At 39.2% G+C, this 13,927-nt stretch overlaps 1 protein-coding gene across 2 annotated transcripts in view, besides 1 other annotated feature; it reads left to right on the top strand.

The window, feature by feature from the left end:
* The window catches only part of RNF128 (ring finger protein 128), a 103,179-nt gene that overhangs the window by 28,367 nt on the left and 60,885 nt on the right, over nt 1-13,927 (top strand). The window contains exon 1 of one of the 2 annotated variants that reach the window (NM_194463.2): nt 4,497-5,193. The exons of the other annotated variant lie outside the window; for it this stretch is intronic. Coding sequence (NP_919445.1) covers nt 4,710-5,193 — 484 coding nt within the window. The 5' untranslated portion in view covers nt 4,497-4,709. Of the gene's footprint in view, nt 1-4,496; nt 5,194-13,927 lie in introns of those variants that run through there. 2 annotated transcript variants of the gene reach the window in all.
* Nucleotides 4,344-4,932: an enhancer, noted in NCBI's record as "H3K27ac-H3K4me1 hESC enhancer chrX:105969778-105970366 (GRCh37/hg19 assembly coordinates)". NCBI's record gives its function as "activates a minimal SCP1, AML or CMV promoter by ChIP-STARR-seq in naive H9 embryonic stem cells {active_cell/tissue: H9 hESC(naive)}" and the evidence as "EXISTENCE:reporter gene assay evidence [ECO:0000049][PMID:30033119]".

Here is a 13,927-nt window from a genome sequence, read left to right on the forward strand (position 1 = left end):
AAGAAAAGTGTAGTCTTACTCAGGATGGGATGCTTGGTGAGGTAGTGAGCTCTGACACTGGGAGTGTTCAAGCAGATGCTGGATGCTAGCTACCTGTCAGGAATACTCTAGTCTACCCTAGGGCTCCTCAAACATATATACATGCAGATCCCCTGGGGATCATGTTAAAAGACAGGTTCCAAGTCAGTTGGTCTGGGTGGAACCTGTGATTCTGCATTTCTAACCAGCTCCCTGATGATGCTGATGCTCCTGATCAACAGACCTCACTCTTGGTAGCAAGGCTCTGTTGTAGTTAGAAAATAACTCACAGTGAAATAGAGGAATACGGTTGGGTAAAACCAGTGGGTTACCCAGGCAAGTCTCCATAGAGTGGAAGTACTTTGTTGCAGTCATGATCTACAATCTGGTTCTTAGCTTTGTAAGCCTCGAAATTTGATTGGTAGTATAACCAGAGACTGGGTTTCTGGGGACTGACTCACACTTAACCAAATTCACGAGAGACCAATATATAAGCCAGAATGCCAGTTGATTAATTTATAATGAGAAGTACAACTTCCAAGTGGACCAGATACTAGTGTTTGCTAATCAGTACATTATCTCCCTGTAGGCATATTTACATGAGGAGCTAACTGATAATAAGTAGGGTTGCTCGGTGAGGATGAACTCAGAGCAAGGGGGGTTCATAGGATGATTTTAATGACTCACGTTATCAAGCTATGGTAGTCTGATACCTCCATTCCACAAGTGTCTAGACCTCCAGAATAGTTCTGGAGATATTGGCCTCCTCACTAGTCTCTTTTTCATCAGTCTTGTCCTCATACAATCCATATGATCTCTTTAAGTTCAAATCTGGTCATACCATTCATTCGCTCCATTGACTTCAATATAAATTCACAATTTTAAACTCATTATTACAAAATGTTTAAAATACTGTATAAGAAAAGTAGGAAAAAAAGTACAATGAGCACCCATACACCCACCATCTAGATTTATCACTTGTTGTCATTTTGCCATATTTGCTTTATGTATGTGTATACACATGTGCATGCATATTGAGTCCGTACGCTTTAATATAATTTTCTGGCCTGGCGCGGTGGCTCACGCCTGTAATCCCAGCACTTTGGGAGGCCGAGGTGGGCAGATCATGAGGTCAGGAGTTCGAGACCAGCCTGGCCAACATGGTGAAACCCCGTCTCTACTAAAAATACAAAAATTAGCCGGGCATGGTGGCACGCGCCTGTAATTCCAGCTACTTGGGAGGCTGAGGCAGGAGAATCGCTTAAACCTGGGAGGCAGAGGTTGCAGTGAGCCAAGATCATGCCATTGCACTACAGCCTGGGCAACAAGAGCAAAACTCTGTCTAAAATATATATATATATATGTATGTATGTATAATTTTCTAAACTTTTCATGTTCTGGCACAAGTTATTTGACTAGCTTCACTTCCCTTGGCTCCACCTTTGCAACTTTATATCCCAACCATACCGAACTACTGAATGCTAGTTCCCTGAATGTTCTTTGGAGTTCTCATATAATATACTCTTGCCTGTGCCTGAAAATCCTTACTCTCTTTGCTTGGGTCACTCCATTTGTACTTAAAGACTCAGTCACACTTGTCTTGCCCTAGCGCCTTATACTTTTCTCAGTCATAACATGTATTACACTGTACTGTTATTGATAGTTTATCTCTCTGATTGTCTCACTAGACCATGAGCTCATTGAAGGCAAGGGCTGTTTCTTTTGTCTCTCTACACCCCTGTCTCTCCCATGCTTTGCACTTAGTAGGTGTTCAGTGATCGGAAACTCAACTGCCTATCACACAGTTCTACCTGGTTACATCATAGGCACCTCAAAATCGACATATCTAAAGTGAACTCATCTCTCCTTCTACCCATTCTATACATTTAAAACCCTCCTCCTGTATTCCCTGATTGAATGTCATCTAGTCTTCCAAGTCAAAAACCTCAGAGTAATTTCTAACTCCTCCTTCTCTTTCATCCCCCAAACCAAGTCCTGTTGATTCTACCACCAAAGAACATTCCCATTCTGCCCACTTCTCTTCATGTCCACTACCTGTCTATCCAAGCCATCTTCATCTCTCACCTGTAGCACTGCCAACCATCTTCTGTATGGGCTCCCTGCTGCTATTCTCATTCCCTCCAATCTATTATCCACAGAGAAGGATCTCTAAACTTCAGATCTGATTCTATTACTCCCTGATTAAACCCTGATTATATTACTCCTCGTTTTTGGATAAAGTCTAAACTCCCTAGCTTTACCCAAAGGACTCTCAAGAACTGGCCCCCATGTACCTCTCCAACATGATCTGTTACCACCCTCCCTCTGTTACTTTAGGTTCCAACCATTTTGCATTTACTGGGCCTGTAGTAATTGTAGCTTCCTAACATTTCTTTTTCATATTTCAATGCCTTTCCTTGTGTTGTTTTCTGCCTAGAAAAGTTTACTGTCTCAAACTCAGCCCAGGTCTAACCTCCTCTGGGAAGCTTTTCCTTACTTCTCAGTCTGGGTTAGGTGCTTCTCTGTTATCCACTACTACCCTGTCATATCTCCATCATAGTGCTTACACTATATACATATATCACTCTATACTGCACTTTCCATTTTACTTGTCCTTCTCATCAAAACTAATTTATGAGCTTCTTGATAGGAGAGTTGATGTCTTATTTGATTTTGCACCACAATGCTCAGCCCATGGCTTATGGCAGATGTACAACAAATATTTAAGAAAATAATGAATGGAAAAACATTAATAAATGTCTCTCTGAACTTCATTTTTGTAGCTATAAAATACCTTCTTTCTTCTGAACACATTGTTTCTTCAAAGTACAATATAGTTGGCTGTCATTCAGGTAATATCAATTGAATTTTGAATGCTCTTCACCAGCAAAATCAGACAATTTCTGGAATTGTACCATTTCTCAGAGGTGGTTGGTCCTACCCATTTTTCCCCTAGGTAATTTTTATCTCAGAGATTACCATCAGTATTTGGGGGTACCATGCTATTGGTCTCATATACCCACTTTGACCTCTAAAGTCCTTTTCAATACCTAAGAGTATATGTTTCACAAAATTGCACATTTATTTATGTTCTAGGTGTTGTTTGGTATATGATGTTAATTTTCCTCTAGGTTTCTCTCAAGCCATAAGAGTATCAAGTACAGAATTGGTCCATGCTTAATCTTTGTAAATAACATTGATTAAGTAAATGCTGGGCCAGGGATTGAGGGGAGTAATTGATCAGAAATTTAACAAATGTTGAGCTGCATAAAGTAGACTGTATTTATTTGAACTGAAAAAGTGGCTAAGACTGAACATCTTGAACATCATTTTCTCTGATATTACCTCAAATTAAAACTTTAATATTATTTTAGAATTGTGTCTCTGAACCTGTTTAATAATTTTAACATGTTTTTTATATTGCTAAGCATTGTTCTAAGTGCTTTATTACATGTATTAACTCATTTAATCATCTGAAAACTCTGTGAGGTAGGTGCAATTATTATCCCCCTTTTACAGATGATGAGGAAACTGAGCCACAGGGAAGTTCCCCAAGGTCAAAAGTTATTCATAACTATCAGACAGCAGGTATATTAATTCAGCTTAATTCAAGGCTCATTTGTTAACCATCTAGTAAATATAATAGTTGACAGGGTAGACAAAAATTGAATACTTAAGCAAGGATAAATCGTAATGTAATAATGCCATGAGTGAATCGCCTAGGCGAGTCAGGCTCCTTTCAGTTAGTGGGAAATGGAGAAAGATTATGTAGTTAAGGTCATGAATAGCGCAGGAACATCCGCTAGGGTAAGTCAGGTTTGTGAAAAATGCAGAAGAAAGGCTTGGTTCTGAGGTGTGTGAAAACAGTCATTCTTTTGTGAGGACTAAAATTAGTTTTAGAAGAGGCATCTGATGCGGTACATGAAACCTAGGGTAACGGTGAGGAAATACACATGTATGAGGCTTCTTAGGAGCAGGGAAAGAGAAAGGTGCCATTTGAAGTCAGTAAGAAAGGGTAACAGCGCGCTTTTCCTGCCCTTCCCCCCTCTAGAGAATCAGTAAATAGCCTGATTCTACTCAAATTCCTTCCCTACCCAAATTCCCTTGACTACAACTCAGACCCTTTGGATCTGCGCTTTTTAGAAGTACTGTACTTCACATTCTGGCACCGTAAGCCCGAAATGTCCTTTAGGCAAATGTTAGGAGGGAAAAATGTATTCTTGCAATTCAAAACCGACTCGAATCCTGCCAGAAAGCTTTATGTTTGCGGACTTTATCGTTCCTCGCCTGTCCGTTTTTTATAAAACGACGCGACACACCTAGCCACACAGCCTCAGATCCTATTCTAACATCGATCCATCCTGTTACCCTTTTAAGAGGCGGATCCCGCAGTGTCCTTTCCTCCCTCCCAGCCACCTCTACCCCCAGTCGGCTGGGCGGAGCTTCACGCTAAAGCCCCAGAGCCCGACGCGGCAGCCGCGGTAGCGGAGAAGACTGGAGCTCCGAGGAGCTGCATCTGCGGCAACCTGTGTGCTGACGCTACGTGCCTCCTGGCTCCGACGTAGCTCGCAGCTCCCCAGTCTCACTCCATTCCTTCCCCACCTGGCGCGCACCTGCTCAAGACCAGGGTCCTGCCAAGCGCTAGGAGGGCGCGTGCCAGGGGCGCTAGGGAACTGCGGAGCGCGCGCGCCATGGGGCCGCCGCCTGGGGCCGGGGTCTCCTGCCGCGGTGGCTGCGGCTTTTCCAGATTGCTGGCATGGTGCTTCCTGCTGGCCCTGAGTCCGCAGGCACCCGGTTCCCGGGGGGCTGAAGCAGTGTGGACCGCGTACCTCAACGTGTCCTGGCGGGTTCCGCACACGGGAGTGAACCGTACGGTGTGGGAGCTGAGCGAGGAGGGCGTGTACGGCCAGGACTCGCCGCTGGAGCCTGTGGCTGGGGTCCTGGTACCGCCCGACGGGCCCGGGGCGCTTAACGCCTGTAACCCGCACACGAATTTCACGGTGCCCACGGTTTGGGGAAGCACCGTGCAAGTCTCTTGGTTGGCCCTCATCCAACGCGGCGGGGGCTGCACCTTCGCAGACAAGATCCATCTGGCTTATGAGAGAGGGGCGTCTGGAGCCGTCATCTTTAACTTCCCCGGGACCCGCAATGAGGTCATCCCCATGTCTCACCCGGGTGAGTGCAGCTACTAGATTGCACCCCTCCAGACCTCTGCCATGGCCAGTTTCTCTTATTTTCCTCATTGCCCTCCTCGTCCTATCCCCTTGCTCCGAAGGAAAGTGGGTGCTCTTTCTGTCCCCACGGAGTGGGGCAGGGTCCTCCCCGAGATTCACCAGGCCTGGGTGTTGGGCAAAAAAAAATCCTTCATTTGCCTCTCTGGTGGAAAAGGGTAAAACAAACCGGGTGCAGAGGCTGGCAAATCAAGGACTGTTTGAGCTCTTTGCGTTCCCTTTTCCTGGTTTTTCACAAGGGTGTCTAGCCTTGGATTAAGTGGTGGTGGGCATCGGGTCTTAAATGACCGAGGAGATCACCTGGAAATCTCTTCCTCACTCTGCTTTTTAACAACCTCAGACTGGCAGCAGATTTTCCCCTCCTCTCCCTGTTTTTCTCTCCATGTTTCCTGGGTATCAAATACTAGATTGTGCTACTGTGCCCTGTTAACCTCATTGCAATTTTGGTGGAAACTTTGCTTAGTTCTTGGGTTCTTCTCTGCCCAGTGGTCTCAAGTCCCAAGTGACTTGGTATCAGTGCTTTTGTTTGCTTCTGAAAAATCTGATTTAGGTTATTGAGTTGCAAAACAGGTGACTAACGTTCTTGAAAAAGAAGAGGTTTCTGCATGAGGATAGCAAAGGCCTAGACTTTGGAAAAAAAAATAGTCCAGGTAGTTCTTAAATTCTTGGAGATGGTATGAGGTTACTATTTTTCCCCGTCGGTTATCCTTCCACAAACTTCCCTATTTGTGATTAGGTATCCATACCTTATGTATATAGTTATCCTAGACCCTAAAGGACAAAGGGGAAAAAAATGGAGAAAAAGAAAGAGACACGTGTAATAGCAGTGTATCATAGTTTTTAAGAGCTGGGCCTCAAGTCAGAGCTTGGTTTAAATTCCTACTCTGTTGCTTACTAGTCCTGTGACCTTGGGCAACTTATTTCAAGTCTTAGAGTCTGGGTTCTCTCATCAGTCAAATGAGAATGAATAATAAGAAAACTTATCCACAAGTTTGCCTTCAGGATAAAATGAAATAATGCCTTAAAGAGTTTAGTGCAGTAAAGCACATCATCCACTCTCAGTAAGGGTTAGCTGATAGGATTAGCCTTCTGGGAGTCACTGGAAGGAAGAAGCTGCTTATTTGACTACTGGAGGTTTTCTGTTTTTCTTAAAACCTTATGACTGAACCTGCCTAGAGAGCACTTGTATTGAGTGGCTGGATGGCGTAATGGAAAGAACACTGAATTGGAACTCAGGAGATTTGAGTTCTTTTAGCCCCTTCTTTGCCTCTACCGACTTTGTAACCTTGTACAAGTTACTCACATGTCAAATGATTGTATAGGCAGTGGAGGCCAAGTTAGAAGCGTGTACTGAAACAAAACAAAAGTAGATGAACTCTAAGATCCCTTTCAGATCTAAAATGCTATGATTTTTAGTTTTTATATTGATTAAAGGAGAAACTGTATCTCTCTTGGCCGATAATTCATTGATTAGAATGAATCAGTAGCTTTTAGAAGTTACTGAAAATCAAGAATAAAGACCTAATAAAGTTTATAGTCTTTATATTTCAGTTGACTGTCTAATAGCAAGGGTTTGACTTTGTCTTCTAATGAGATTCATTTGCATGAATGATTTGTAATTGAAGAGTATTTAATTACAGAGTCCTACTTAGACCATTTTCCTTTTACTTCTGTTAAGGGTATTTATCTGATAGTTTTAGGAGACAATAAAATTAACTTTTGCTTGGCTCCCACTATATGCCAGGCACTCTACATACATATTACTTATACTTTATTGAGAGGCAATATGGTGTACTAAGAAAAACACAGGCATTTTAGTCAAGATTGGGAATAAAATTCTGGATTTACCACACAATAGCTTTGTGTCCTTGGTAGGATTATTTAACTTTACTGAGCCTTGGATACCCCATCTGTAAGATGGAGATAATATTTATGTTGCTGTGATTATTAAGGATTATATATATATATACTACCCAGCTGATAATAGTCACTGAATGTTATAATAGGTTAATGCTAACAGGATGCAAAAAAATAATGTACAAATGTATGATTGTGCAACTGTCGATTTGAAGACATGAATACACTGAGAATCTAACTATGGGTGTTGTGTTTCAGGATACCATATAGGAATAAAGCCCTAAATATTGATCACTAAATTACACTACATTCAGAAAAGCATTTTGATACTTTAAAAACAATATTATCTGAGATAAAGGCTATACCAAAGTTTGCCATCAAGCTAACTAGATAAAACCAGCAAATTACTTGAGGTAAGGAATCACATTTCTCCTTGAACTCCTGGAAAAACTATTTTTCAATATAGGGGGAAAATCACTGCATATTATCCACATGTGTTATTGAATATTTGTTTGCAAAGTGTTATATTGTTTGCTTTACTCATTCCTCAGAGTAAGCCTAGGGTTTCCTTTTAACCTCTGGTCAAAAACTTATCTTGGATCATAGTGGCAGAGAGATAGGACTGAGATTTAAGTATGGATTAGTTCATTATATATTGCTGTGAATTACGAAGGGGCCACCAAATGTGGAAAAGCCTTCTGTATCTTCTTTGTTTACAAAATCTCTCTTCACTCACTCTCATAGGGGCCTGCACTTGAATTGTTTGCCCTTGGTTAGAGTTTGTGCTGAGTGTCTATATTCCCACCTAACTAATTTAGAACAGTTGCTTTAAAATTTTTGTTTAGGAGAAAGAAACTCCACTATATAAGAGCAATCAATTAGGAAAATGAGACTTTTATGTATACCAAAATTTTTCAAAAGTTAATTGTAGCCTAACATCAACTCATGCAGTTTATTTCTGTATTTTGTTTGCAGAGTATTCAGAAAATTCTGATTCACACAGATAAATAATTGCAAATGACAGATGCTTATTGGCAGTTTGGCTTGCAATCTCTGGATATATTTCAATCAAATCAGTGCAGAAACCTGAAAGGAAATTAGGAGAAAATTTTTATTCCAAAGTGTAATTACTATTCAAATTTCTTATCTTAAAAATGAAAGTCAGATAAGTGGCCAAATCTTAAAGTAAGCATTAAAACCATCTAAAATGTAAGATTGTCACGAGACACGTTAAGCATGTTCTCACTATTGCACAACAAACTGTTCTGCTTACGCCAGGCAGATGGGCCTGAGCTTTGCCTGGTGTCTAATTGAGCACAACCCACAGGTTGAAGAGATATGTATACTTGCTTGTACAATTTTCCTTGAGTCAACATTGTAGGCATGAATTTATTGAAAGACTGGTGCAGAACTACAACCTTCATAATTCATGAAACATTTACAACGTTATGCATAAAACATATGCAAAGGGATGTCAGGAGAAGCATTATTCCTGAGGGCTGTAAAAAAAAAAAGTGAATGAACCAAGCAGTTTAATTAATGATTTGGGGGTCTCCAATGGGATACAGTTTGATATATAACACAGTTGCTTGTGTACATTGTTGAAAGATAGTGGAACAGATTAGTTAAGAGGTTGTGCTCTGCCAATTAGTATTTTTTAAATCTTAGGCCAGTTATTTTACTTCTCTAAGTCTCAGTTTTCTCCTATGTAAGGTAGGCATAATAATAAACTTGCCTCCTAAGGTTGCTGGGATTCAATGAGATAATGCAGATAAAGCGTTTAGCACAGTGTCTGACATATAGGAAGCTACTATTATGTTTTAATCACAGTTAAATATATTTTAGAAAATGAAAGTTGAATCCTGTGTTTGTAGAACATAATTGGAAATGAACAGTCTAGAGTACTTCAAAGTCCACATTACCTGAAATTCTAATTTGATCCCTTTAGGTACGGAGGGTAGACTGAATTTTAACAGGAAAAAGATCTTTTGGTCCTCCTATGTTTGTTGTACTTTTCTCAAATAACTGCTTCTCCCTCCTGCTACCAATCTTTTTCCGTTCACAGAGGACCTTGGAATAGTATGTTTGTACTACTTAATCACCACCCAATCCCTTCTCAACCATTTTATATTTAAGTTTTATTCTACTTTTTCTAGAATGTTGACTTTGAAAATAAATCTTTTTTTAATAGAGAAGTTCAAAAGGGATTGGCCAGTGATGATTAACCAATGTAAAATACTATTCCCAAAGCCATTTTCAGATGTAGCCTTCTTGGTACCTCTGCAGGACTGTATTTGACACTGTTGACTGCCTCTTTAAAACTATCCCAAGTAGTGTCTTCCTTCCTTGCCTCTCTTTTGTTTCATTACTATTTTATTAATTCATGCATCTGACACTTCTCACTTGCATCCCAGACTCCTAGCACTCCTCCTCCAGTAAATAGATGCCACATCCTGTTGATTCTGGCACTTTAAACATTCTCACATATGTCTCCTTCTTCCTTGCTTTCAATACCCTGCTTTCAGTTCCTGTGTCTTCTCATGGGAAAAAATACTTAGCCTCTTGATTGGTCTCCTTGCCTCCAGTAGTTTTTTTCCTAGTATGCAGTTCTTCCTCCATGCCATCAGAACACAGCTCTGATCACATATATGCTATTACTTATAAATTTTGGACTACATTTATCAGCATGGCATATAAAACTCCTAGTAATCTGATCCCAAACTACATTCAAAGCTTTATATGTCTCTTCTTTCATGTTGGTCCCTAAACATTCTCTATTCTTTTCCACTAACATTCCTTTGCTTCTGCTATTGCCAACAGACCTGTTTTTCTTAGCTCTGCTAGTCAAAAATTTACACATCCTTCAAAATGCAACACAAATGCCTCCTCATCTTTGAAGCCTTTCTTAATTCTTTCTTTTCCTCTTCCCAGCACAGCCCACACCCAAAACAAAGTATAGTAATCTCTTTTTGTTCCAATAGCACTTCCTCTCTTATAGTACGTTCTGCATTTTGCTGGTAATTATTTGTTTACATATTTTACCTTCTACTGGATTATAATCATTTTAATGTTTTGTTAATCTTTGTAATCTCTATAGAAACCTTTGTACTATACATGCTCTAGAAATGCTTGCTGAATTGCCTTAAACACTCAAGAACTCTAATGCCAGAAGGGTCACAAGATTCACTAGAAAAGTATCTAGTGGATCGGAATTCAATTCATCGAGCATTTATCAAAGGTCTGCTGTCTGATAGATACTGTGCTTCTTGCCTGAGTATACAAAATAATTAAGGTAAAGTCCCTGCCCTCTTAAGCAATGTAGAGCCTGGTAGAAGGAAGAAGAGCATACAGGAATAGAGTGTACACATACTTCAAGATTGCTGGCTAACTTCTATGGTGATTAGCCTGGTTTTATGGATTTTTAATGGCAAAATGCCCTAGGTAACAAGAAAATAATGACAAATGACTTTTCATATTGAGTTTTCCCTGTGCTGGGGTGTTTTATTTTTTTGATCTTTTAAAAACTACACCAGCATTATATTTATGTCTCCAATTAAAATGCTTCCATTGAACATGTTGGTGAATGTGAAATTTCATAAAGTAAAAATCTTTTTTAAAAAAAGGAAAATAGAGTCAGCCCCCTATATCTATGTCCACATCTATGGATTCAACCAACTGAGGAGGAACAATATTTGGGGGAAAAGAAGCATCTGCACTGAATATGTACAGACCTCATTTTCTTGTCATTATCCCCTAAATGATACAGTATAACAACTATTTACATAGCATTTACATCATATTAGGTATTATAAATAATCTAGAGATTATTTAAAATATACAGGAAGATGTGCACTGGTTATATGCACACATTGAACCATTTTATATAAGGAAATTGAGCATCTGTGGATTTTGGTATCATTGGGAGGTCCTGAAACCAATCCCCCATGGATACTGAGGGATGACTATATAGCTTGATCAGTGAATTGTTTTCTAAGCACATAAATAACTTTTCCCCCCTCAGTCCCTGGAAGATATGTGTTTTCAATACAGAATGCCACATTTTAACTCTGTTCACACTCAAATGGACAGAAAAGAGGAGAGTACTAAAGACATTTTCTAAGTAATTTTCTGATTATAAAATTAACTGTTATAGAAAACTTGAAAAATACAGAAAAGTGTAAAACTAAAATACCCATAATTCTACAACACAGATGACACCATTAATATTCCTTCTTACCTTGATTTCTGTACATAGGCATAACTTTGTATTCTACTTTTGTAATAGTTAATTTTTTATAAATATTAATGTAGTAATAAAATACAGAAAAAAATGAAAAAAGATATACAAATCTGTTTTAGCATTGGGGGGATTAGTCATTTTATTCTTTTTTATTTATTTATTTTTTTTGAGACAGAGTCTCGCTTTGTCACCCAGGCTGGAGTACCATGGCGTGGTCTCAGCTCACTGAAACCTCCTCTTCCCGGGTTCAAGTGATTCTCATGCCTCAGCCTCTCGAGTAGCTGGGATTACAGGCCTGTGCTAACACACCCGGCTAATTGTTATAGTTTTAGCAGAGACAGGGTTTCACCATGTTGGCCAGGCTGGTCTCTAACGCCTGACCTCAAGTTATCTGCCTGCTTTAGCCTCCCAAAGTGCTGGAATTACAGGCGTGAGCCACAGTGCCCAGCTTATCATTTTATTCTTTTGCTCTGTATATAGATATATTATTTAAAGAATTATATACTATATATACTAGTTTTGTATACTGCTTTCTATTGTAAGAATTTCTCCATGTATCTAGAAATAGAAGATGGTCCTCTTGTAGTTGAAGGTTGTGGTCATTGACTGAGAGTTGGGGATTGAGCCTCTCTTTCTTTAGCTACCAGAAAGGAAGTGAAAAAATGGAGATGGGGAGGGTTGTGAATTGGGGCATTTAAATAAAAAATATGCTTCACCGAGGTTTACATTGAAATATACTTACTAGCCTTAAACATGGTCTGATCTAACCCATATGCATTGCCTATTGTGGCCTTGGTATTTCTTAGGGTTTGATCACCACTTGTGCTTCAGTTCATTTTCTCCCCCAATATTCCCATAGGTAATGCCTTTTTATTTTTCTTTTTTTATGTCTTCTTCACAATTGAGGTTTGCACCTGGTTTCCCTGTTGCTTTTAAGTAGCTTTTCTATTATAATGATGGCTACTGAACTATAAACTATTGTTGGTGTTTACCCCAAAGTTTATTTGATAAGGCACCATAGGTATTTCCTGGGAATAAATAATTTTTGTATATGTAAGTTCTATCGAAGTATAATATACATCCCAAAAAGGTACATAAATCATTGATTTAGCTCAGCGAAATTTCACAATTGAGCACACCTGTGTGACCAGCGCCCTGCTCAAGGAATAAAATAGTACCAAACTCCAGAAGAGCACCTCACGCTCCAATATGAAGAATTTTTGATGTAGCACAATTATCAATTTTGTTTCCTGAGGGAATGCCCTCTTGCAGCATGTGGTAGGAGCCCAGTCACCCACAGAAATATTCTCCTCTTCACTGCACTGGGGTTATTTTATGGTGGTGATCCTCAGCTACATACCGTAGGGAGTTATTACCAAGCACAGAGTATATGCACCTTTCCAAGCCAGTTCAGAATTGCCACACTTTGCTGTACACCACCACCTTGGAGCCCTATGGGCAAAGTGGAACACAAGGGCTCTTTGTTGTGTTATTTCCTGTTCTGTCCTTTTCTTTTTCAGCTGTGTGTATGTCCTTCCATGCACCATAGCACGTAGTTACTGCTTGAATTTACCGATAGTCTTAGTGCAATATTGATTTATTTATTAAGGAAAGTTTGGTGATTCATGCTGACCTCTGGGAAACTGGACTTGATGAAGGTTGTTAGCTCCAGAATCTGCTCATGAATTACTTGCTTTTAATACTTGAATGACCAAGTTGGTACAAATCAGTAATTCTGAGTTAACCCTATTCATTTTGACCTTTTTTGAAAGAAGATAGTCCTTGAGCTCAATAGTTGATATATGTTTCTCTTTAAATGTTAACTTGTCATTTCAGACAAAATGTTGAAATAGCTTAGTTAAATACTGCCTGCAACTAAAAGCGTCTTAGCTTTTAAAAAGAAAATGCACCATAATGTTAATATTGTTGGTGAAATTATAGGAGAAAGTATTTGTTCTCTTCATTATTATTTTTCTATATTTTCTGACTTTCTTATAATGAATGTTTTACTTTTATAATCAGAAAAATTCGTAGTTTTAAAGAACCCAAAATACTCCAAAATTATTGATAGATCCTAAAGAAAGCATTACTAATGTGACTATAGTGACAACAGGAACAAAGCATATCTGCTCATAGAAATGATTTACAAACTATTATGAGAATTTAAGAATTGCTTTGGCCTTTTGAATATAGCTATCTAATCCATATGATAGTTGGTGTTACCTTTTATTGTTAACACTGGTTTCTTCATGTGCCTTGACGACTAAAAGAATTTTCAGGACTGACTTTTCCTATTTTAATATGGAATCTTTCTCTTCTCTTTACCCATTGTATCACTAGCTTTTTTTACCCTCCCCCCAACACACACACACATAAAAAAATGCACATTCCATGCCTTTCTTTGTATTTTTGTTTTTTTTTCCCGTAAGAGGCCTGCTTACCCTCATTAGCCCCCTTCAGTATCCATTCTACTCAATACTGTTAAGATTAGTGCTAATAGCTCAATATGAAGAATTCAATATATTGGTAATTTTCATCCATGAGACACTGACTTCATCTAATGGTGATAGATTTTGTCATT

Source organism: Homo sapiens, chromosome X (assembly GCF_000001405.40).
Source record: "Homo sapiens chromosome X, GRCh38.p14 Primary Assembly".
Classification (NCBI taxonomy): domain Eukaryota; kingdom Metazoa; phylum Chordata; class Mammalia; order Primates; family Hominidae; genus Homo; species Homo sapiens.